General features: G+C 39.4%; 1 protein-coding gene across 1 annotated transcript in view, besides 1 other annotated feature; it reads left to right on the top strand.

Annotated features, from left to right (window-relative positions):
• The window catches only part of PJA2 (praja ring finger ubiquitin ligase 2), a 75,253-nt gene extending 49,527 nt beyond the window's left edge, over positions 1-25,726 (top strand). Inside the window, exons 7-10 of the mRNA NM_014819.5 lie at positions 4,422-4,533; positions 15,629-15,743; positions 16,137-16,258; positions 23,092-25,726. Of these exons, the coding sequence (NP_055634.3) occupies positions 4,422-4,533; positions 15,629-15,743; positions 16,137-16,258; positions 23,092-23,217 (475 nt within the window). The 3' untranslated portion in view covers positions 23,218-25,726. The remainder of the gene's footprint in view (positions 1-4,421; positions 4,534-15,628; positions 15,744-16,136; positions 16,259-23,091) is intronic.
• Positions 22,106-22,400: a silencer, noted in NCBI's record as "tiled region #6746; K562 Repressive non-DNase unmatched - State 15:Elon". NCBI's record gives its function as "represses a minimal TATA promoter and a strong SV40 promoter by Sharpr-MPRA in K562 cells {active_cell/tissue: K562}" and the evidence as "EXISTENCE:reporter gene assay evidence [ECO:0000049][PMID:27701403]".
• Positions 25,727-27,162: the final 1,436 nt, after the last annotated feature.

The raw sequence follows: 27,162 nt of genomic DNA, 5'->3' as shown, positions 1-27,162 counted from the left end.
AGAAAAAAGTGAAGCCTTTTGGTTCCTTAATTTAGTTTAAAGGAAAATGGAAAAAGTCCTCTATCAAGTTTGTTTACTTGTTTTCATTGAAGTTGCATTAGTGTTCAAAATACTCAAGAGTACCTGATAGCTTGGTGTGGTAGGAAGTGACACAGAGAGATCATCGTTTTAGACACAGACAAATCCCAACTCTACCATTTGTTTATTCTTTGATAACTCCTTAACTCCTCTGTCTTCCTGTAAGAAATTGAGTTTTTATTAATCTAATAAGATTGTGAGAAGTTAATTCTGTGTGGATATAACTGTGGCTTAATAGAATTTAAAAATAATTTTGATATAATTTTATACTTACAGAAAAATGGCAAAAATAGTACAAAAATCCTCATGTATCCTTCACTAAGATTTCCTAAATGTTAACATTTTAAAACCACGTTTGTGTTACCATTCTGTCTTTCCTTTCTTTATACTTATAGTAAGGTTTTTTTCTGACCCACTTATGAGTAAGTTGCAGGCATGATGTCCCTTTCTTTACTTGTAATTATTCTAGAATGAATTTCCGACATCCAAGACCATTTTGTTATATAACACAGTAAAATTGTCAAAGTCAGCAAATTAATGCTGATACAATATTATATAATCTACAAACCTTATTTAGATGTTTGTAGTTGTTCCACCAGTGCTGTTAGAGAAATTTTTTTCTGGTCTAATCTTTGTATTAGATCTTTCATTGTATTTAGTTAACAAGTTTCTTTAGTCTCTTTTAATGTGGACGTTTCCTCAGTCTTTGTTTTTCATAACCCTGACATTTTTAAAAAGTACAGGTCATTTATTTTTTAGAATGTCCCTTAGGTTGTATTTGTCTGTCATGAATAGATTTGAGTTGTGAATTTTTAGCAGAAACACCCTGGAAGTGGTGTTTTGTCCTTTGCAGTACATATCAGAAAACACATGGTGTCAAACCAACCCATTACTGGTGATATAAAATTTGATTTGGTTATGGTGTTATCTTTCAGATTTCTTTACAGTTGTCATTTATCCTTTAATACAGCTGACTCTTGAACAACACGGGTTAGGGGTGCTGATCCCTGTGCACTAGAAAATCCAAGCGTAACTTTTGACTCTTCAGAAGGTTAACTACTGATAGCCCACTGTTGACCAGAAGCCTTGTAATAAAATAAACAGTTGATTGCCACATATTTTGTATGTGATATGTATTATATACTGTATTCTTACAACAAAGCAAGCTGGAGAAAAGAAAATGTTAAGAAAATCATAAAAAGAGAAAATATATTTATTCTTCATTAAGTGGAAGTAGATCATCATAAAGATCTTCATCCTTGCTGTCTTCATATTGAGTAGTAAGCTGAGGAGGAAGAGGAGGGATTGGTCTTGCTATCTCAGAGGTGGCAGAGGTGGAAAAAAAACTGAGTTTAAGGGTACCCACCTACCCAGCTCAAGCCCCTGTTCAAGGGTCAGCTATAGTCAGTAGGCTTCTAGCGTGAAGATACTTTGAGACTGTAAATAACCTGTTTCTTTTTAAACTATCAAACTTCCATCCACTAGTTTTAGCATCTATTAGTGGTTCTTGTCTGAAACAATTTTTTGTTTTTTGTTTTATGTTTTTTTTGAGACAGAGTCTCATTCTGTCACCCTGGCTGGAGTGCAGTGGCGCAAACTTGACTCACTGCAACCTCTGCTTCCCAGGCTCAAGTGATTGTCCAGCCTCAGCCTCCCAAGTAGCTGGGACTACAAGCATGAGCTACCAATGCCTGGCTAATATTTGTATTTTTTGTAGATACGGGCTTTCACCGTGTTGCCCAGGCTGGTCTTGAACTCCTGAGCTCAAAGTGATCCGCCCACCTCGGCCTCCCAAAGTGCTGGGATTTGCTGAGACCCGCTTGGCTGGGGAGACCCTAACCCAGTGGCGCTAGAGCAATTAAAGACACACACACAGAAATATAGAGGTGTGAAATGGGAAATCAGGGGTCTCACAGCCTTCAGAGCTGAGAGCCCCAAACAAAGATTTACCCACATATTTATTGACAGCAAGCCAGTCATTAGCATTGTTTCTGTAAATCATAGATTAACTAAAAGTATCCCTTATGGGAAACGAAGGGATGGGCCAAAATAAAGGGATAGGTTGGGCCAGTTATCTGCAGCAGAAGCATGTCCTTAAGGCACGTGCTATTGTTTGTGGTTTAAGAACACCTTTAAGCGGTTTCCCTCCCTGGGCGGGCCAGGTGTTCCTTGCCCTCATTCCTGTAAACGGTAAACCCACAACCTTCTAGCATGGGCATTATGGCCATCATGGCCATCATGAACATGTCATAGTGCTGCAGAGATTTTGTTTATGGCCAGTTTTGGGGCCAGTTTATGGCCAGATTTTGGGAGGGCCTGTTCCCAACAGGGATTACAGCCACCACACCCAGCCTGAAACAGTTATTACCATGGTGACTGCCAAGTACATGATCTTAGAATTTTTAAATGATTATTTGTAGTGGCCAAATTACAACTTGATATTATGCTTTGAGTGTCTAGATTTGCTCAGCCTGGAGAAGAAAAGAATCATTGGGAGATAGTTGTCTTCAATCGTTTGAAGAGTTTTTTTGCAAAGAGAAGGAAGACACAATTTATGTTGTTTGAGCAGGCAGAATTACAGCAACAGAGCAAAAGTTACAAGTAGGAATACTTCATATGTTTTAAACTTCTAGTAGTGCTCTCCCGCACTGGTACATACCACCTTAGAAAGCAGTGTATTTTCTGCATGGAAGGAATGTTTCTTCTGTTACTTGAATGTCTACTGTGGTGCCATCTCTGTGCCAGGCACCTTTGCACACCTACTTATTTAATTTGTTTTATAGATGAAGGAAGAGTCAGTTACAGGCTCTTTCTCTTTGTACTACATCTTACTGCTAGATGAGGGAGTTTCAGTATTTCAAGGGTGGATGGATTCAGTAATTCTTAATATTAATTCCAAAATCTGTGATTATATGTGCATGTCTGTTGCTTTGTATCATGTGATACTTGATTTCCAGATACTGCTAAACTATAACATTACTCTTTTCAAGAACCATTTCTGTGTCTCTTGGCAACAGATGGGTAATTTTAATTACGGCACATGGGTTGACATCAAAACTATTTTTGAGCTAGGTTGTTTGTGGATGTTTAGGACTATGATATTCAAATAGGATATGGAAGTCAACAAGTTTAGTTTGTCTTTAGACAAAATAAGCTCAGTTTTGGATCTCTTGGACTTAAGAGGTGGTAGGAGTACATCTACTCAGGGTGCCCCCAGACAACTAGAAATGTAGGTCAAGAGCTTCGGGGGAAGTTTAGGAATTAGGTAGAGATTTAGGAATTACCTGCAGAGAGGATAATTGAAGAAAATGGGCTTGAATATATTAATAATTTCCAAGGGAGCAAGATTAGAGAAAAGAGGACCAAGGACATACTTAACGGTTTTCAATTTTTGAAATACATAGTATTTCCAAGACTAGAGGAAAAGGAGGAATCTCGATATGTTCAGGGGTGGAGGAAGGAGAGTAGGACCAAAGTGAGACATGTTTTTCTTCTAGGAGCTTAATGGTTTTTTAGAGAAAATTATAATTAAAAATGAGCAGTTAGGAGCTATTTTTCAAGCTGTATAATAATGGAGGTGGCCTAATCTTAGAAGAAGACAGATTAATGAGAAAGGCTTGAAATAATAAAATATTTTAAAATCCAGAGTTATTAAGCATTACAAAATGAGAAAAGAAAAAAGCCGTGAGTAATGATAGAATTAAAATAAATATGGTTATTTTCTTTATCATATTCTCACCTACATGCGGATTGGAAACTGAAAAACAGGAGAAATATGTGGGAAATAATCGGGTGGGGAAATGTACTATATCCCTCACCTGAAATGTTTGGTACCAGAAGTGTTTGGGATTTGGGATTCTTTTCCTAGATTTTGGAATATTTACATATACTTCCAGTTGAGCATCCCAAATTTGAAAATTCAACATCTAAAATGGTTCAAAATCTGAAACTTTTTGAGTGCCAGTATGATGTACAAAGGAAATACTCATTGGCACATTTTGGATTTCAGATTTTCAGATTTGGGATGCTCAACCTGTACCTTTAAGCAGTCTCTAGAGTTAGAGCTAGAAACACAAAAGAGAATTTTTCTACAAATTTTGTGCATTGAGTTTGGCAGCCTGTTGGATGAGGTAGTGGTATCTTAACTACTCATCTTTAGCACCTCACTTTTCTGTTGGGTCCCTCCTGCCCCTAACCCTACAAGTTGGTATTAAAATATTTTAAGGTCTTCTGTTCACAGCATGTTTATCGGCTTGTCAGTATGCTAATATAATTATGTCCTCAGCATAAGATTTCCCAAATCATAGTGGTGAGTTTTTTCTGTTATTTTTTTTTTTTTTCAGCCTATTTGATGGCTTTGCAGATGGACTAGGAGTTGCTGAAGCTATTTCATATGTGGATCCTCAGTTCCTTACCTACATGGCACTAGAAGAACGCTTAGCCCAGGCTATGGAGGTATGTTCATAACTCTGATCTCCATATATAAGTTGATGGGATACAAAATGATAAAGGTTTAAAGGGATTTTTAGACTACTCTTAAGAAAAGGTGAATCTTTTTCCCATCAGTTTAGTAACAGTTATTGAATAATAATTGTCACCAGTATGTGCATACAAATTATACTTGATGTCCTGCTAGTTTGCCTTAAATTTCAGTATTTCTCAGTTTTTACTGCAGAATGGAAAATGTTTTGCTTACATTTAGAAAATATACTTTTTTCTCTATTGAATTATACAAGTATGAGAGTGAATATCTTATATACACACGCACAGGTGTATTTGTGAAATGCAGTTGAAGCTAAGGATATATTACAAATCTCTTTTTTTCTCATGGCTTCTAAATACTATCTGGCTGCCTAATGCAGTTAGGAAATTTGCTCCTCCTTATCCCAGCAAACATATACACACTTTAATAAGTGGGGCATATTTGCTGCCTCAGCTTCTCTTGCCTTCTTTTCATTATTTAACTAAAACAGAAAAACCTGTTCTTAAATGTATTTGCCTAAGTTCAAAGCCCAAGTATTTTCATGTTTGGGAACTACTACTGTACCAGTGGATTTCATTAAAAGAAGTCCTTTCAAATCACTATTTCCAAAGTGATTTCCAAAATATAGGTACAGAAATGACTGGTGAATGAGCCACAGGTGAGAGAACAAAAAATTGGCAAGAACTTTTAGGAGCATTATAATATATTTTGTCTTTAAATTTTCTGAGATTAGAAAGTCCAGTTTGTATATTTATTTATTTTTGAGACGAGATCTCACTCTGTCACCCAAGCTGGAGTGCAGTGGTGCAGTCATAGCTTACTACAGCCCTGAACTCCTGGGCTCAAGCAATCAGCCCACCTTAGCCTGTCCCAGGTAGTGGGGACTACACATACGGGCCATCAGACCTGGTTTTGGTTTTTTGTGGGGTTTTTTGGTAGAGATAGGGTCCAATTATGTTACCCAGGCTGGTCTCAAACTCCTGCCCTGAAGCAGTCCTCCCACTCTGGCCTCCCATGGCACTGGGATTATAGACATGAGTCACCATGCCCAGCCAGAAAGTCTAGTTTAGATTGACAAGTTAGATAGCAGGTACCTATCTAATATTGATATATTTAATAATATATTTATATATCTAATATATTACCTCTCTCTAATATATAATATATATTAGATATATCTATTAGATAAATTTGTCTTTAAATGATCTCTAATATATTGTATATTATATATTAGATATATAACATATATCTAATATATCTAATATCGATAGATATTAGATATCGATATGTAATATCGATATAGATATCTATAGATATTATAGATATCTAATATCGATATAGATATCTATAGATATTATAGATATCTAATATCGATATAGATATCTATGATATTATAGATATCTAATCTATAGATATCTCTAGATATCATAGATATCTAATCTATAGACATCTCTAGATATCATAGATATCTAATCTATAGATATCTCTAGATATCAGAGATATCTAATCTATAGATATCTCTAGATATAGATATCCAATCTATAGATATCTCTAGATATCATAGATATCTAATCTATAGATATCTCTAGATATCATAGATATCTAATCTATAGATATCTCTAGACATCATAGATATCTAATCTATAGAAATCTCTAGACATCATAGATATCTAATCTATAGATATCTCTAGATATCATAGATATCTAATCTATAGACATCTCTAGATATCATAGATATCTAATCTATAGACAGCTCTAGATACCATAGATATCTAATCTATAGATATCTCTAGATATAGATATCTAATCTATAGATATCTCTAGATATCATAGATATCTAATCTATAGATATCTCTAGATATCATAGATATCTAATCTATAGATATCTCTAGATATCTATCTAATCTATAGATATCTCTAGATATCATAGACATCTAATCTATAGATATCTCTAGATATCATAGACATCTAATCTATAGATATCTCTAGATATCATAGACATCTAATCTATAGATATCTCTAGATATCATAGACATCTAATCTATAGATATCTCTAGATATCATAGACATCTAATCTATAGATATCTCTAGATATCATAGACATCTAATCTATAGATATCTCTAGATATCATAGATATCTAATCTAGATATCTAGATATAGGTATCTAATATATAGATGTCTGTAGATATAATAGGTATCTAATATATAGATGTCTGTAGATATAATAGGTATCTAATATATAGATATCTATGATATAGGTATCTAATATATAGATGTCTATGATATTATAGATATCTAATATATAGATGTCTATGATATTATAGATATCTAATATATAGATATCTATGATATTATAGATATCTAATATATAGATATCTATAGATATTATAGATATCTAATATATTAGATATCTATAGATATAGGTATCTAATATATAGATATCTATATATAGGTATCTAATATATAGATGTCTATAGATATAGGTATCTAATATATAGATGTCTATAGATATAATAGGTATCTAATATATAGATGTCTATGATATTATAGGTATCTAATATATAGATATCTATAGATATTATAGATATCTAATATATAGATGTCTATGATATTATAGGTATCTAATATATAGATATCTATAGATATTATAGGTATCTAATATATAGATATCTATAGATATTATAGGTATCTAATATATAGATATCTATAGATATTATAGATATCTAATATATAGATATCTAGATATAGGTATCTAATATATAGATGTCTATAGATATAGGTATCTAATATATAGATGTCTATAGATATAATAGGTATCTAATATATAGATGTCTATGATATAGGTATCTAATATATAGATATCTATAGATATAGGTATCTAATATATAGATATCTATAGATATAGGTATCTAATATATAGATGTCTATAGATATAATAGGTATCTAATACATAGATGTCTATGATATTATAGGTATCTAATATATAGATGTCTATAGATATAGATATCTAATATATAGATGTCTATGATATTGTAGATATCTAATATATAGATGTCTATAGATATTATAGATATCTAATATATACATATCTAATATAGATATCTATAGATATTAGATATCTGTCCATCTGTGCACACACATGCATGCATATACATGTTCACATACATTTATGCTAGCTCTGCTTTGTCATCACTTTTTTTACATATATAACTGTCCATGGAGATTGCTTTCAATTACGCTTTATGGTGAGTGTTTTTCTCAAAGTAACCATAGCAGAAATACTCTATACTAGGAAAAAAGTCAGAAAGAACATCATGAGATAGGATACAATTAGGATTTTTGCCAAATTATTTAACCTGCCTTGGCAAATTCTGACACATAAGAAATAATGGTATAGCATGGTAACTTGCATCAGAAATACATAAAGATTAAGGATCACTCATTTCGTTGTGCTAAATAACTCTTTGAGTGATCTGTTCTAGGGTCTGATTTCACAACATTTAGTCTTTCATTTTATGCTAGTGGTTTATGATTTCCTACAATATGGAGATAACTTTAAAAAGAAGTGTTGAGAATAAAATGTTTTAGTATTTATTACTAGTGGGGAATGTGACATTTGGCATCTTGAAAGAAGAGCCAGAGAGACTGGTCTTGAGAGGTCATGCTAAGTAAAGGCACTAGCAGTGAACTAAGACAAAAGGCAAGCAAGAGCTTGCAGTCTCAAACATTGTTGGCTTCTACCAATAGTGAACTCAGTGGCATTATTCCTACCAGTCTATACTTCTGCCTGTGTTTAATGGCTTTAAGCATCTCTCTCCTCTAAAGCTTATCAGCTTCTTCACATTTTAGTGCTCTGATTTAATTTATTTGAATTTGATTGAGATGTTTCACTCCTAGAAAATCAATACAGTTGTCTTCCTGTCACTCTTCAGAAATCTGTTTTTCTGTGTTCAGTATGCATTTATTTAATCATTTTTTAAAATGAAACAAAAATAATTTATGATTATTTCTTTTATATTTAACACTAACACTCTTTAAATGAAACAAAAACAAAACAAACTGCTTGTTTTTGTTTGTTTGTTTCTCAAGCAGCCCTATAACTTTTTGGAAGTAGTTGCTTTCATTTCTGTTATTTTCCCAATACTAGATTGGTCATTGTTTTCAGGTAGTGGCTTTTGGTGAAAATACTGGCAGTATGTATTTGTCTCCTTATATCTGTGTCTCTAATTTGAGTGAGGAGAGGGTAAAACCTTAAACATCTTTAACCTTTTGAAACTTTTCTACTTTTCAAAATGGATTTTGAAAAAATCCCCTTGCACATTTATGTTGACATCTAAAATTTTTCAGCATAAATCTAGGTAGTATTAGTTATTTTATCATACTTCTTCGCTAGAAAAATGTTTAAAATTTTTAATATAAAAAGTGGTTAAATTGAGTTACAATTAATAGTATCCAAATAATCAAAAATAAATTATGAATTTTGGTAAGTGTTTTGTAGGAAGTGAATCTAATGAGATGGAGGCATTTTCCTTTCCCAGTTATGAGTGAATTTTATTTATTACCGGAATGAGACATATTTCAGCATAAATTTACTTCTGATTTTCATCTTATGAATGTAAGGTTGAAAAACGTTGTTCACCTAAATAAATTAATAGGAATGGAAGGAGTTTATTATGGCATTGTCACTGAATTCTTTTGAGATATTTGCCCAGAATCACATCAACTTGTCTAGATATTCTTTAGATTCCTTCCGTTTTTTTTTTTTTTTTAAGCAAAGGATTGGAAGCCACCCAAAAGATTTGTTACTTAGTCATTAGAGTTCAGTTCTACCTCAGTACTTCAGATTGTCCCTGTGAATGGGTAAGAAGTATGCTTTTATTTATAAAGTGGAAGAAAGGCAAGTATAAACAGAATGTTAGAACAGAGAACCAGCATGATATACTGCAGGTGCATTCTTATGTGGATCAGTTCGAAGAAAGATTTTACCTATGAAAGCTTATTGAAACTGATTATCTTAAGACTGTCCATACCCACGGGCCCCTTGTAAAGTCTTTACATACTCACAATAGCACCTGTATACACCCAGGTATAGGCACTAGGAAGGCTGTAATGTGGAGGTTTAGAAGGTGGGCTTTTGTGTTAAAGAGTTTGGCTGTGTGACCTTGGACAATTCACTTAACTTCTCTGAGCTTTAGCGTCTTCATTTACAAAATGGGAATAATAAAATCTACCTGATGGGTTATTGTGAGATTGTGTTAAAGCCTTTAGCAAAATACCTGGTTGTATTGGGAATCTCTCAGTAAATAGTATATTCATATAGGTTTATTCAAATCAATAGTCAACTAACTGGTGTAATCAGTGAACAAATCTGGATTCAGTGGTGATCATTCAGAATCGGTATTACTATCTTCGTTCTTTAAAAACTGAATTGTATTTTATTCTTTAGAACAAAATTTTATGCTGATAAAGGATTATGCTACTTTAAACCTACATGTATTCTAGATAGGGTGATTTAGGCTAGTTGTCTTTCTGCCTCTTCGACTAACTATTGTAAATACATTGTACTGCCTAAAGGTATAGATAGTTTTTTTTTTTTTAATTTTTATAGATTTTCATACTAGTGGCTTAAAAGGCTATCTTTTGCTTGTGTTGCTTATAAGTGATCCTGGATCATCTTAAATATATGACAGTACCAAGGCAATAAATTATTTTTACATATATGAAATTTCAGGTGTTACTAGCACTGCAAATATGCAGATAATCATTAGAAAGAGATAATGAACCCATTGAGACAAACATATATCAAAGCATAATTAGCCTGGAATAACCTCCCCAAATGAAAGTTACTATAAATAACATCCCTTATTTCTGTTTATGTGTAGCACAAATGAGTTCTTGCAAGCAGGTTCTATCTTGAGTAGTACATATGGGGAATTGGAGGAGATTCATAATTATAGCTATGTGAGAAGGAAAGGGACTGATAACAGGATCTTACCTTCCATTTCCTATCTTGCAATGGGAAAGTTCAATATAAGGAATTCTAAACTAGAACAAAGAAGTAGAGTAACAAGGGATTGGCTAGGAGGAAATAAAGATAATTACACAGAATATGGGAAAAGCGCATATAAGGAGCAGCCACCACCTGTCTGGCAAAGCTAGGACAACCCAAGGAAGAGTCCCTAGTCCATCTCAGGGCTGAGGTCACCTTGATGGAAATGGCACAGCTGTGGCTTGCTGTATGAGAGAGAAGTCACTTGGGTATGTGCTGGTGAAACTTGCTGGAAGTCAGCTCTCTTAGGGTGCTGAGGAAAGCTATTCATAGGAAGGTTTCTAACTGGAAGTGCTGTACTGCAGAACTGTCCAACATGGATGCTGGGGGAGGCTGCCACCTACTAAGTGCATTACAGGAACTGGCTGCTAGAGAAGCTGTGTGCACTGAGTCTAGTGCTAGAGAAAGCCACGAACATCACTCTAGTCCCAGTGTGCTCTGTCAAGCAAGCACACTGGGACAGAAGGAAGGCCCTTTCCTCCAGCAGTGTTCTTCAACATCCTCTGTGAACAAAGCTTAGCATCATGCCAGCTGTTAGGAGGGAAAGTATTTAAACAGCCCAGATTTTCACAGAGCCGACACAATAGTGAATATGGATTTGTGGAGCAATAATTCCATAAATGGAACATTCCAGCACTTTGATAACTTGGCTTCCATATATACCTTTCAATGCACATTTAAATTTCCATCCATCAATAGAATTGTATTTCCACCCAACAAAATACAGCTATTACTACAAATGAAGTTTCACCCATTTCCCAGAATGAGCAGATGGCTAGTTCCAAGAGGCATTGTATCCATCGCTAGTTATGCATTACTCCACACATTCATAGTAACACTGAATATTCTCTTATATAAAGACTAAATTGCAAATTTAACTTCCAACAACTGGCATATTGAAATAGAAATGGGAAAGAGGAAAAGTAAACTGTTAACATATATAAATAAGCAGATACATAAAACAAGCACATAAAATATGCAGAATTACTAATCCTTGTTCTGTATTTGCTCATGAGACTGAATGATAGCTATAACTTCTTTCTTCCATGACCCAGTCATATTTTCCCTGCCCTCAGCCAGAAGCTCACTCAGCTGGTTAGGATTCTTTACTTGGTAGAATAACCCAGACCTACACTGTTTATATCTTCAGTTCTTTCTTTTTTTGTCTGCTGTAGTTCTGGTAACTTTACTGTTGGGCATGAAAGCAGTAAGAGATTCACACTCCAGGTGAGATTATCACAGGGTTTTCAAGCAGAGGAAGCCTAGTCTGTGGAGGGCACACTGTTTCTACTGGTAACAGGAGGCTCAGAGTGACTTGGGGATTCAAAGTTATCAGTTTCCTCAGAGTTCAGTCAGATGTCTTCATTCCAGGTTTCAGAATCTTATTCCTTAACCAATCAATGGTAAAACTTTTGAGAAATTTGATGAGACTAAGAAGTCAACTCTAATTTTCATTTAGCAATCCACACAATTACATTTTGCGTTTGATTTTTAGGAGCAAGAGCATCTTTTAGGGCTGTCGTGGATGCTTTCTGGCTCTCATACCCTATTGTGAGGTTTAAGAGACCTGAGTTTGTAATTTTTTTCTGTAAGTGCACAAGGGCACTCTTAATAATCCATCTCACATCACGATTTTTACAGTTAGATCACTGTTGCCGTAAGATCAAGTATAGGAGCTATCTGGGCTTTCAAGACACATGCTTCAGTTGGATCTTCATCACTGTCAACCACAGTGATACCTTGATTAATTGTGATGCCACTACAGACTATGGATTAATAGCATCCCATTCTCATTGGCAAGGAGCTCAACACTGAGCTCAAGCTCAACAGGTGTAACCAAACCAACCCCCAAATCCTTTTCTTGCCAGTTCTGTGTCCCGGGACCACTCTTAATATGAATTCTGTACCAGTCTGAGTTCAGTCCCAAGAGAGAGAAATACAGTAATTTGAACAGGGAAAATTTACTGTAAATATTAACTGCAACAGAAGTTTAGAATACCAAGGGATTGGCTAGTAGGAAGTAAAGCAAACTCTAAAGAATATAGGATTAGCAGATTTAAGAAACAGCTTTAGGGCTGAGATGGAGCACTCTACTTCCCTCCTGTCTAAGGCTGAGAGCCAGACCTTATTGGGAAGGACACAGCCATGGCTTATGGAGGAGTATTTATGGTACTGTGCTGGCAGAACTTGCTGGAAATTTGCCTTCTGGAACATGGCAAAAATCTGCCCTCTGGGGCAAGAGAAACTTCACAGTGATGTGACCAAGCCCCTAGGTACTCTGCTGCAGAACCACCTAAGATGAGTACAAGGAGAAGCTGCTGGCAACCTTGTCCTGTAATTACCAGTTACTGGATAAGCAGCATGTGCTTCAAGAGCCAGGCACTGGAGAAGCCACCCACACTGGAGGAGTCTGATGCTGGAGAAGCCATCTGTGCACAGGGAAGCCTGGCACACTGCAGGGGCAAGCCCAAGGGAACCATGAAGCAAAGTCCTTTCCTTGTGTCTCTCCAGCACCTTCTGCTGACAAAACTTAAAATCATGTCAGCTAACAAAAGGAAAAATATTTAAAAGGCCCAAATCTGTTTTCAAAGGGCAGAAATGAAAGGTGTATTTGGAGCTGAGAAGCAATAATTCAATTACTGGAACAGTGTTTCTTTCTTTTTGCAGTGTTTCTCTGCATATCCAGAGTCAAATTTAGTGTTCAATAATATTAACTATGTTTATTAACTCTTTGTGAACCGTTTTGCTTTTTCCTTTTTTAGTCCTGATTTTGCTTTGGGCTTGGCCCAAGGCAAGTTGTAATCCCTATTATAAGTCATCTCAAATTCTTTTTGGGAATATCTATGGTAGGACCTTAGGCATGTATAAATATTATGTTTGCCATCCAGAAGAATAGAGTGTTAGCTAAGCTATCAGGCAGAATTCTTCTTCTATATGGGAAACCTGGCTTGTTCATTTTTTTTTATTATGGTAAAATAAACATAATATAAAATTTACTATTGCTACAGTTTTTTAAAGTGTACAGTTCAGTGTAATCAAGTGTATTCACATTGCTGTAAACAGTAACTCCCCATTTTCCCATCTTTCCAGCCCCTGGCAACCACCATTCTGTTTTCTGTCTCAATGAATTTGACTACTTTAGGTATCTCATGTAAGAATCATACAGTACTTATCTTTCTGTGACTGGCTTATTTCATTTAGCATAATGTCTTCAAGGTTCATCCATGTCGTGGCATGTGTTAGAATTTCCTTCCTTTTCAAGGCGGAGTAATATTTCACTGTATGTGTATATCACATTTTGCATATTCATCCATCCACCAATGAACAGTTGATTTGCTTCCACCTTTTGGCTCTTGTGAATAATGCTGCAGTGAACATGGGTGTACAGATACTTGTTTTAGTCCCTGTTTTCAGTTCTTTTTGGGTGTATACCCAGAACTAGAATTGCTGGATTATGTGATAATTCTGTTTTTAATTTTGAGGAATTGTTGGGCTGTTTTCTCTAGCAGCTGTAATATTCTGCACTCCAACCAGGAGGGGAGGCCCAGTTTTGATAGTTGTCAAATTTCCTTCAGGTTTTTCATCCCTAAAAAGAAGCCAAGGTCTTTCATAGCTCCATGATCTTATGATGCTGTAATTAGGATATAATACTAACAAGTAATAATTAAACGGTGTAATACCAATTCTTTGAATACAGTAGCAGTTCAGAAGGATACTCGTGCAGTCTAGGACCACTGACATAGGCCTCATGGAAGAGACAGGACTTATGCAGTCCCAGAGGGAGTGATAGGACTTAAAGGATGGACAGAAAGCACCAGGCAGGGGAAGCAGCATGTGCACCAAGAGCAAGTAATTGTACAGGTTGCAGACAAAAAGACAAAAGTCTCAACTGCCATTCTAGTCTAATTAGAGCCAGAAAGGATGAGGATGACGCATCCCAGATGATCACATGATCTGATGTTCTTTCCATCCTTCTTAGAACAGTAATTTGACACAGATATTTGAACCTGTAAATGAAATTCACAACCCAGATAACCTAGTAATACTTGTGAGCTGGTAATGTGGGTGCGCCAAATCCATGCCAGTAGTAGATGTAGCCATTCAGGAGTGCATTATTTGCTTCCATACCTGGAGCTTCTAGTAGCCTCAGCCACATTTTATCTTTCATGAAGTGAACCTTTCCAAAATGTTTATTATTTTCTTTCATGTTATTGATCTCACATAGGAACCAATAGTTGGAAAAAGTAACCACTCCTTCAAAATATAAATACGGAGAAGTAGATGATTATTGAGACAAGGTAGTTTTTTTTTTTTTTTTTTTTTGAGACAGAGTCTCGCTCTGTCACCCAGGCTGGAGTGCATGGTGATCTCAGCTCACTGCAACCTCTGCCTCCCAGGATCAAGCGATTCTCCTGCCTCAGTCTCCCCAGTAGCTGGGATTATAGGCACACACTACCACGACCTGCTTTTTTTTTTTTTTGAGATGGAGTTTCGTTCTTGTTGCTCAGGCTGGAGTGCAATGGCTTGATCTCGGCTCATTACAACCTCTACCTCCTGGGTTCAAGCAATTCTCCTGCCTCAGCCTCCCAAGTAGCTGGGATTACAGGCATGTGCCACCACACCCTGCTAATTTTGTTTTTTTTTTTTTTTTTTTTTACTAGAGACGGGATTTCACCATGTTGGTCAGGCTGTCTTGAACTCCTGACCTCAAGTGACCCACCCCGCCTCGGCCTCCCAAAGTGCTGGGATTACAGGCATGAGCCATTGCGCCCGGCCGAGACAAGGTATATTTTTATTTCACATGTAGAAAGTTGGGCTCTGCGTGTATATTTAATGTTTTGGTTTGTTGGTGATGGTGGTAGTTCCTTCTGAAGAGGCAAAAGGAGCAAAGGACTAAAGCAAAAGAAACTAACAAAAAGAGAATAATGGTGATATAATTTTGGAGATACCCTAAAAATAGTTTTCTGTTACTGTTTTAAAGTATTTCTAACAAAGAACTGTACCTTTTGTTTTTCAGACTGCTCTGGCCCATTTAGAGTCTCTTGCAGTGGATGTTGAGGTGGCCAATCCACCAGCTAGTAAGGAAAGCATTGATGGTCTTCCAGAGACCCTTGTTCTTGAAGATCACACTGGTAAGGGCAAAGTTGATCTCAAATGTTGAAGAACACATTGTACATTTAAGTATATTATCAATATACCTAGATAATTAAATACTTGATTATTAGAAACTTTCACTAGATTTTTTTTATAGAAACCAGATGCTCACAAACTTTCACCTAGTACAAGAATATTTTTAATTTTCAAGCGATAGGCTGAGACAAATGTTCCTCTGTCAGCTTTTTTACAAAGCAGTATTTATTAGATTCCAAATTGCCAAGTATTAGACAGAAATGCCTGCCAATTAACTGGTCAAAGACTGGCTCTTTCGTCTTTCAGAGGTATCTTCTATGAGTATAATATGTTGCTTTTCAGTTTTACTAAAATTGAACTACGTGTGATTGACCTGAATTATTTGTTGTTTTCAGCTATTGGTCAGGAACAATGCTGTCCAATCTGTTGCAGTGAGTATATTAAGGATGATATAGCAACAGAGTTGCCCTGTCACCATTTCTTTCACAAACCTTGTGTCTCAATTTGGCTACAAAAGGTGAGTGATAGAATAATTAAAAATTTAAAAATACTTTAATAGTGTCTTCTGCAAGTGAATAATAGTATCTTTTTTTTTTTTTTTTTTTTGGTGAGACAAAGTTTCGCTCTTGTCACCTAGGCTGGAGTGCAGTGGTTCGATCTCGGCTCACTGCAACCTCTGCCTCCAGGGTTCAAGCGATTCTCCTGCCTCAGCCTCCCAAGTAGCTGGGATTACAGGCACCCACCACCAAGCTCAGCTAATTTTTTGTATTTTTAGTAGAGACAGAGTTTCGCCATGTTGGTCAGGCTGGTCTCGAACTCCTGACCTCAGGTGATCCGCCTGCCTCAGCCTCCCAAAGTGCTGGGATTTCAGGCATGAGCCACCACGCCCAGCCAATAGTAGTATCTTTTAAACCTGTTTTATTTAGCCGCAAATTTGTAGTACTTTTTAATTCATTGTTAAAAACCTGATTGCATTTAATGATTACAGATCAGGGATAATATGGAAATATTTTATTTTACTAACATTGTCTAAAAATATAGACAATAATAACAACATGTTTTTAATCATTTTAGGAAGTGATTAAATATCTGAAAACTCATTTTAGAATAAAGCTGATTAGAATTTTAATCATAACCCTGAAATTTGGTGTTTTCAAAAGTATCTAAAGCAGAGAAGCCTTTGGCACTACTCAAAGTACTATAACAATATACAGCTATTCTGCTAATACAGGTTGGTGTTTCTGAAATGTATATGAGAGATACTTAATAACCTACCAAGTAGCTCCTATTCCAGTTTTTATATATTGTCTTCAAATATTTACCCAATAAATCTTTTTTTTTTTTTTTTTTTTTTTTATGGTACATTATCTCTCTTTATTTACATATTTTCTTTTTTTCTTTCTTTCTTTCTTTCTTTTTTTTTTTTTTTTTTTGCACCGCCCTTAATCCATTTAATCCTGAGTGGACACAGCACATGTTTCAGAGAGCACAGGGTTGGGGGTAAGGTCACAGATCAACAGGATCCCAAGAGAGAGGAATTTTTCTTAGTGCAGAACAAAATGAAAAGTCTCCCATGTCTACTTCTTTCTACACAGACACGGCAACCATCCGATTTCTCAATCTTTTCCCCACCTTTCCCGCCTTTCTATTCCACAAAGCCGCCATTGTCATCCTGGCCCGTTCTCAATGAGCTGTTGGGCACACCTCCCAGACGGGGTGGTGGCCGGGCAGAGGGGCTCCTCACCTCCCAGTAGGGGTGGCCGGGCAGAGGCGCCCCTCACCTCCCGGACGGGGCGGCTGGCCGGGCAGGGGGGCTGACCCCCCCCCCACCTCCCTCCCGGACGGGGCGGCTGGCCGGGCGGGGGGCTGACCCCCCAACCTCCCTCCCGGACGGGGCGGCTGGCCGGGCAGAGGGGCTCCTCACTTCCCAGTAGGGGCGGCCGGGCAGAGGCGCCCCTCACCTCCCGGACGGGGCGGCTGGCCGGGCGGGGGGGCTGACTCCCCCCACCTCCCTCCCGGACGGGGCGGCTGGCCAGGCGGGGGGCTGACACCCCCACCTCCCTCCCGGACGGGGCGGCTGGCCGGGCAGAGGGGCTCCTCACTTCCCAGTAGGGGCGGCCGGGCAGAGGCGCCCCTCACCTCCCGGACGGGGCGGCTGGCCGGGTGGGGGAGCTGACCCCCCCCACCTCCCTCCCGGACGGGGTGGCTGGCCGGGCGGGGGGCTGACCCCCCCACCTCCCTCCCGGACGGGGCGGCTGGCCGGGCGGGGGGCCGACATCCCCACCTCCCTCCCGGACCGGGCGGCTGGCCGGGCAGGGGGCCGACCCCCCCACCTCCCTCCCGGACGGGGCGGCTGGCCGGGCGGGGGGCCGATCCCCCCACCTCCCTCCCGGACAGGGCGGCTGGCCGGGCAGAGGGGCTCCTCACTTCCCAGTAGGGGCGGCCGGGCAGAGGCGCCCCTCACCTCCTGGACAGGGCGGCTGGCCGGGCGGGGGGGCTGACCCCCCCCCACCTCCCTCCCGGACGGGGCGGCTGGCCGGGCGGGGGGCTGACCCCCCCACCTCCCTCCCGGACGGGGCGGCTGGCCGGGCGGGGGGCCGACATCCCCACCTCCCTCCCGGACGGGGCGGCTGGCCGGGCGGAGGGCTGACCCCCCCACCTCCCTCCCGGACGGGGCGGCTGGCCCGGCGGGGGGCCGACCCCCCCACCTCCCTCCCGGACGGGGCGGCTGGCCGGGCAGAGGGGCTCCTCACTTCCCAGTAGGGGCGGCCGGGCAGAGGCGCCCCTCACCTCCCAGACGGGGCGGCTGGCCGGGCGGAGGGCTCACCCCCCCACCTCCCTCCCGGACGGGGCGGCTGGCCAGGCGGGGGGCTGACCCCCCCACCTCCCTCCCGGACGGGGCGGCTGGCCGGGCGGGGGGCCGACCCCCCCACCTCCCTCCCGGACGGGGCGGCTGGCCGGGCAGAGGGGCTCCTCACTTCCCAGTAGGGGCGGCCAGGCAGAGGCGCCCCTCACCTCCCAGACGGGGCGGCTGGCCGGGCGGAGGGCTCACCCCCCCACCTCCCTCCCGGACGGGGCGGCTGGCCAGGCGGGGGGCTGACCCCCCCACCTCCCTCCCGGACGGGGCGGCTGGCCGGGCGGGGGGCTGACCCCCCCCCACCTCCCTCCCGGACGGGGTGGCTGCCGGGCGGAGACGCTCCTCACTTCCCAGATGGGGTGGCTGCCGGGCGGAGAGGCTCCTCACTTCTCAGACGGGGCAGCTGCCGGGCGGAGGGGCTCCTCACTTCTCAGACGGGGTGGTTGCCCGGCAGAGGGTCTCCTCACTTCTCAGACGGGGCGGCCGGGCAGAGATGCTCCTCACCTCCCAGACGGGGTCTCGGCCGGGCAGAGGCGCTCCTCACATCCCAGATGGGGCGGCGGGGCAGAGGCGCTCCCCACATCTCAGAGGATGGGCGGCCGGGCAGAGATGCTCCTCACTTCCTAGATGTGATGGCGGCTGGGAAGAGGCGCTCCTCACTTCCTAGATGGGATGGCGGCCGGGCGGAGACGCTCCTCACTTTCCAGACTGGGCAGCCAGGCAGAGGGGCTCCTCACATCCCAGACGATGGGTGGCCAGGCAGAGACGCTCCTCACTTCCCAGACGGGGTGGCAGCCGGGCAGAGGCTGCAATCTTGGCACTTTGGGAGGCCAAGGCAGGCGGCTGGGAGGTGTAGGTTGTAGTGAGCCGAGATCACGCCACTGCACTCCAGCCTGGGCACCATTGAGCACTGAGTGAACGAGACTCCGTCTGCAATCCCGGCACCTCGGGAGGTCGAGGTTGGCGGATCACTCGCGGTTAGGGGCTGGAGACCGGCCCGGCCAACACAGCGAAACCCCATCTCCACCAAAACCAGTCAGGTGTGGCGGCGCGAGCCTGCAATCGCAGGCACTGGGCAGGCTGAGGCAGGAGAATCAGGCAGGGAGGTTGCAGTGAGCCGAGATGGCAGCAGTACAGTCCAGCTGCGGCTCCGCATGAGAGGGAGACCGTGGGGAGAGGGAGGGGGAGGGGGAGGGGGAGGGGGAGGGGGAGGGGGAGGGGGAGGGGGAGGGACCCAATAAATCTTAAGCATATTTGAATTATTTAAATAAAGGAAGTGTTTTATTTCAGTCTTCTCTGTGAACTCTGTTTTTGCATAAAGGATATTTACCATCCAGTTCACTAGGAATTCCCAAGTCACTTTCCCAAATTATCTACTTAGGAATACAACTCCCTTTCTTCCCTATAAACCAGTGCTTTTTTTCTCCTTCCCTTTTCCCATTCCTTTCCTTCCTTCCGTCTTTCCTTTTCCTTTCTTTGCTGTTCCTCTATTTCTATTTGCCACTTTGTTCTTCTCAAAATTCCACTTAAAATCTCTGAAATCCAGTTTAGAAATGTTCACTGTTCTTTTATAAAATATCTCTGTATGAGATAACCCATAGTGCCTGTCAGGTAGTAAGTGCCCAGTAAATATTTTACAAATCATATCAGATGAAAGCTATTATTAGAAATTAGAGGTGTTTTTATTTTATTAACAACAAAATCACAAATAAAAACTTATGGTGCAAGTTACAAAGACCAGCTAGCAGTCTTCAGTAAACAGCACGTGCTAATGTGTATTATTTGAGGAGTATTGTCTGCATAGAGATAATGTGTGTCTCAAGTCTCATGAGACTTCCTGGTATTCTGGATTGAGGTATAATGCTGGATTCTGAATTAGTTTTAAAATACTGCTTTCCTTGCTCTCTCCCTTCTCCCAGAACAAAATTTGGGAAATAATATTTTAGGTGATTTTTCTTAATCTGTTTATCTGGCATTTTGTTAATACAGCCTAGATGGCTGTGCTGTACAATATACCAACCTCTAGTGTTTTTATAAGAGTTGAAGTAGGTAATCCATGATGAATTTAATATAGTGTTTGGCACATAGTAAACATATAGGAAAAGTAATGGTAAACTTATTACTAATGAAAGTTAGAATTCAGTAGAAAATGACTTTTTCAGTGTCTGTACATGATGGTGGTAGTAGTGGAAGTAGGTGTTATTAAAATTATTGGGGAAGCAGAAAATGCAGAGCCACCAACTCTTAAAATTTTCGAGCATGGCTGAGTCTGTGAGGTCCATTCCCTCATTTCATTTCTACTCCCATACATTAGACCTTCAACCCTTGTTGTCTTAACTACTATTGTAGTGACCTACTTTATTTCCTTACTTCCTTTAGAGGTACTTTCTTTTCATTTCTTTTTTATTTGCATAAATCTGTGGGGTACATGTGCAACTTTGTTACATGCATAGGTTATGTAGTGGTCAAGTCAGGGCTTTTAGGATATCCCATCACCTGGATAACATACATTATACCCATTAACTAATTTCTCATCATCTTCGCCTCTTCCTATCCCCTCACTCTTCCAAATCTTCATTATCTATCATGCCATCATTAAAGGCATTTTCTGAAATGTAGTTCTGATAATGTACTTCCCTTCTCATAAAAGAAAGAGAGGGACCTCCAGTCACCTGTGGAATAATCTGAAGTTTTAATCTTGACATTCAAGGCCTTCTGTGATTTAGACCCCCAACTTGTTTCTTCAGATTTACTTTTCTGTACACTTGCTCATGTTTCTATGCATTTGCTCCTGAAGTCTGGCATGATTTTTCCCTATACCATCTGTAAGATTAGATGATATAGGTAGGTGCAGTTTAAATTCCACCTTTTCTGTCCTTAATAAATGCCGTCTTTAAATTCCCATGATAGCTTCAGAGACTTAAGAAGCAGTGTTTTGTGTGCCTGCTGTGTGTCAGTCACTGTTAGATGATTCCTCTTTAATGATTCATGATTTCTCCTTTAATCCTCACAGTACTTTAGGACTTATTGTTATCTTTATTCCCGTTTTCTAATGATTGTTACTTGTCTAAGTTTAAATAGCTAGTATGTAGTTCATCAAGACCACACTCATCTATTTGACTCTAAAATGTTATTGTTGGGGCCCAATCTGTATGGCAAGTACACAATAAATGTTTGCTGAAATGAAATTTTTTTTTTTTTTTTTTTTTTTTTGAGACGGAGTTTCACTCTGTTGCCCAGGCTGGAGTGCAATGGTGCTGTCTCAGCTCACTGCAACCTCCGCCTCCCGGGTTCAAGCAATTCTGCCTCAGCCTCCCGAGTAGCTGGGACTAAAGGCGCATGCTGCAACGCTCAGCTAATTTTTTGTATTTTAGTACAGACGGGGTTTCACCATGTTGCCCAGGCTGGTTGCGAACTCCTGAGCTCAGGCAATCTGTCCACCTCGGACTCCCAAAGTGCTGGGATTACAGGCATGAGCCACCGTGCCTGGCCTGAAATGGATTCTTAAACGGTAAACGTAATATATGTTGTACAGCCTTGAATTGTACTTGAGACTTTGCTGTAACACAAAGTAACAGTCTCTTCAGTCTTTCTCCTGTCAGGAAATACCTTAGTGTGAAGCCTTTCCTGCTTTTTTTCTGGGGAGAATGTTCCCAAGATACAGTTCTTTGTTGCCTTCGACAGCATGATCTCTTCAGCCTCCCTTCCAGCAGGGAGTTCTCTTTGGGAAAAAGACCAGATTTGCAAGGGGATAATCTGTTATCAGATAACGTAGCTCTATAATCGTCCATTGGTCCTAGAATGTTGTGCTCCTAGTATAACTGCTTTCTCCTTCCCACCTTCTCTCCAAGGTCTGTGGTTGATTGTTTTGTCATTTAGAAGGCACCTAACACTCTTATCTCTTTTTGGAAAGAAATGTCATGGCTTAGAAAGAAAGTCTGAAGTCCATCTGCTTTGACATATCTGTGCTACCCTAAAATGAGGCTTTAATTTGCCATCGACCTACGTTAATTCATCGTAGACCTTCTTTAATTCACACCAAATCATAAATGATTTGGTGTGAATTAAAGTAGGTCTGTGGTTTCTCTAGTAAACGCATAATAGACTAAATAATGATAATTCAGATTATTGTTGAGCTAAACTCTGACCTCCATGTGGACATGTGCCATGATTCTTTGCTCACCCTCTGCCATTGCATCACTGCTGAGTTTAGCAGCTCTTAATTAAAACTCACTAAATTAAGGAGGATGAATGACCTTAAAGATACGAACATGAATAAGAGACATCATTTACCCTCAAAGAAACTAGAGTCTGATTGGGCAGGGAGGAAAAGGTATTAAAATTATGTCTTTCTGCATTGTGTGGATTTGAAGTTTGTTTTTTGTTGTTAAGAGTCTTATTATTAGGATAATGACACTGTTTTTTCTTTATTAAGTTACTTGTGTGGCAGTTAAGATGATTCTGGTGGCTCTTAACATTTTTTTTTTCTCCAGTCGGGAACATGCCCTGTGTGCCGCCGTCATTTCCCACCTGCGGTTATTGAAGCATCTGCAGCTCCTTCCTCTGAGCCTGATCCTGATGCCCCACCTTCAAATGACAGTATTGCAGAAGCACCCTAAACCTTGACAGTTGAAATGAGATCAGTGTATCAAAGTAAATCTGCAAATTCCTTCTAAATTTCATGTGCAAATAATTATATATAAATATATTTAAAAATGCTATATATAGTATATGCCATAGTTTAGAAAGAATATTAACCTTTCTAAACTAAATTTAGGTTTGCAGAAAGTATTAAACATTTTTAAGCTGAATGTTGAGACAGTGCATCCATTTTCTTTAGTTGAATATGTTTGTATTAATTGTAAAGCCAAGCTTATCAGTTGACTCTCTCCAGAATAAATAATCATCTGTGTGGCATACGTTATTGGCTTTGTCTGTAATACTGCCACTAAGTGATTATAATTAAGCTGTCCTGTTTGCATCAAATGTAAAGACTGTGTTCACAACCGTAGTAAAATTTGGTTTCATTGGAAATGAAACAAATTCTAAAGTATGCTTTTTCACTAGTCCCTTTGATTTTGCTATATCATAACCTCTTGGTTCATATGCTGAGAAATTTTTCAGAAAGTCCATTTTTGTTTAAAATTAGAACTTTTCAGAATGCCAAATGAAGGCTAAAATTTTGGCCAGAACATTACAAAAGTTTTAAATCGTAGACGTAACTCCCCCTGAAATAAAGTTAGGTAGTAAAATCCTTAATGAAACCAGTGGATGTGCTTAACGTAAGGTTAGTAAAGCATACAAAGAATCTAGTGTGCTCAGGGCTTGGTACAATGAGCTGAATTAGATGGCCTTATGAAACTCTTTCTAACCTCTTACCCAACCTGTTTCTCCTTGGTTAAAATTATACTTGAAGGCCCAGAACACTCATGGCACATTTGTTTAATATTGCTTATAGTTAGTTTAAGGTAATTTTGCTTCTACAGTATTTTGGAAGGTCTGAAAACTTGCACAGGGTCATCTTTGTAATTATATAACCCCAAACTAAGATGCACAATGTCTCCTTCAGGTGATCACACACAGTGGACGAGTATGTGCAAACATGGACATAATAGTTCACTTACAAATGTGATTTGATGTTAACACTAGAGAATGATGACTGTAGAACATTTGAGCAAGTAAAATAGTAAAGCACATAGTGAGTGTATGTCCGTCTAACTGGTACATTGATAATTTAGTTTGGGCACATAAAAGGAATATTTATATGGCTTCCCAAATGCAGAGTTACATCTTATTCGTGTATTTCTCTGAGTATTTATATCCCGTCTCCTTTTTTCATTCTTAAAAATAAATGAATTTTCACTGTTGGCACATATGAGGCTTAAATATAAGGAACATAACACTTGCATTCTAATTTTTGCATATATTGTAAATGTGTCTGGTATTTACAGCAAAATACTGTGTATCCTTTTATGGGTAAAACAAAAGTGAACATTGCATGCATGTAATGTGATGAATTTGTAATTTAGGAGTTCTTTGGGGCTTCTGTGACTTGGGAAATGCTTACATTCAGGCCTTAATGTTGCATTAGCTAGCATGTTTTCCCTCTGATGTATATAGTCACTGTTGTATAAACTAATCTTTGCTTGTTTTCTACTCTGTGATCTTTCCATATCATATTTCATTAATGATCAGTTAGTGTCAAGGAGTCAAAACAGATTAAAATTAATTTCATGTGTATATGGTGGAAATTTGTGGCTAGTGTGATTTTTGTTTGTTTCCTTTTAAGTACTGTTGATCAGTTGTGACACTTACTGGTTAAACTTACGTTGCTAAAGATTTCTCTATAATAAGCCACACATTATATTTAGACTATATTAAGGGACCTTGGTTTTCTTCTAGATAGCAGCTGTCCCAAAGAAAATATTTCTTCTTTGTCTGTTAAGATTTAGCTATTATCTGCCAGTTGTTAAGAGGTTTTGGTTCCAAACTCAACCAGCAATGTTGAGAGCTGAACTTAAGATAGCTGTTGTACTTTTTGCTTTCCATCTGTTACTGTCCTTCATTCTTGGCTCCCTACTATCTATAAACAGCTGCTGTGAAGAAGAAAAGTTGAATAAGAGTTGGCTTAAATTTTAAAAAAGAAAAAGAAAATTGAGGTTTTAGGATTTTCATGGTAACAAGCTCTGGTATAAGCTAAGGCTGGCAAGTTCAGATACTAAAATATTATTTGATCATATCTTGGATCCTTTTGAAAAAGTTAAGACTATATGAAGGTAAATTAGAAATAAGTATGAATATTAATAAAATAGCATTTATCTTATTTCTCTATTTTATGTTGTGACTTAACCTAATTTTATTTTTTTAACATTTTCTTATTTCTTATAATATGAATGCTGATATTTAAAGGTAGATCTATGTGGTATTCTTTGTGTTTCTTAATTGTTTAACTCTTAAGATTATTTGTGATCTGGATTTATGTATTTGTTAGATACATACGAATTGTTAAAATGGAATGCAAGTTTTTCAAAAGCCCAGGTCTAAATGTAATGGTTGGTTTATTGTTCTATAACCCCAGCCCATCATTTTCTGTGTAAATCATAAACAATAAACAGAATATACTCGGTGGTCATTTCTAATATTTAATTGTGTAATTGTATCACTTCTATAATGTAACCCCTGAAGGATTTAGAGTTAATGACAGATAACACTACTGAGCATGTGATGTTAGAAGTCCTTGAACTATAATCTAAGAAAGCCCTAGAAAGAGCCAGACAGAAGTAGTTGATGGACTTCCTACTGCTGGAGGGTCTCTGAGTCCTTGCCCTCTCCTCCCTGACATCCTTAGCTATCCCGTAGGTTTCAGCAGAACCTGATTTCCACACTGACTCCGGACTGCAGAAACCCTTAATAAGGAAGGGAGCCCACCTCACATCAGTGGTTTTCTCCAAATCAGGCATGGAAATATTATTAAATCTAACTGTTTAGCAAGATTCCTTGTGGTTCTCAAACAGTTCAGAGAACTCAGTCATTTCAGAAGGGTCAATTGGGTGCTGATAAATTACGCAATTCAATTAGACAAAGACTAGCCAGGCATGGTGGTGTGCACCTATAATCCCAGCTATTCAGGAGGCTTGAGGCAGGAGGATTGGTTGAGACCAGGAGTTGAAGAGCAACCTGGGCAACATAGTGAGACCCTATCTCAAAAAAATTTACAAAGTTGGATAAAAACTAATCATTTTGTTTAGATGCTTAGAAAGTTTAGAATTCTGATTCTCCTCTAATAGATTAAATATGTACTAGAAAAATAGTCTCAGAGCTGGAAACATCAGTGGTATACCTCTACTGTTGATGTTTTTATAATTTCATCATCATTTTCATTCAGCCACTGCTGGATGGAGCCATTCAGCACCCCTGCAAGGGATGAATTTCATTGTTGGAAGATTGTCACCAAATTTCTCTATAAACAGCACACGTGAAATTAGAAAGTCCTGTTTCTCCTGTGTGGTCACCTCTTCATATCCTTCTTCAGGCTTCACGCTTTCTGAAATCTTACATGGTATCTATTCCAGACCAGCCTAGAGTTGGCTCTTTCACTCCTTCTCTTAAAGTATGTTGCTCAGAATTAAACACAGTTCTGTGGTCGAACTAGGGCAGGGTTCAGGAGCACTGTTGCCACCTTCAGAGTGATTCTCCTGTGGCTGTTATGGTTGGTATATGTTATTATTACCACCATCATTATTAGCCAGGCTGTCATACTGTTTGCTGTCTCTTGCTGAGCTTCACAGGTATTGCTGGTAAGCCAAGTCCCCGCCTAATCTTTACTTAAACAATCTCTTATTAACCTAATTGAAGGACAGCATTCATCCTTACTGAATTTGATTTGTGAAGGTTCTTGTGAATTCAGGTTTTTCGTCTTAGCCTTGCATCCATTCCAATTTTGATAAAGCATACCTTTGGTATGTAGTGGCTTTGTCTAAGTTGTTGATACATGTTGAATTGAATGGGATGCAGTACAGACCCTCTTTAGAATGCCACTATACACTGCACTTAAGGTGAGTGAT

This window comes from Homo sapiens, chromosome 5, assembly GCF_000001405.40.
Source record: "Homo sapiens chromosome 5, GRCh38.p14 Primary Assembly".
NCBI lineage: Eukaryota > Metazoa > Chordata > Mammalia > Primates > Hominidae > Homo > Homo sapiens.
Note: the sequence above shows the minus strand (reverse complement) of the source record. Positions and strands in the feature narration are given on the sequence as shown.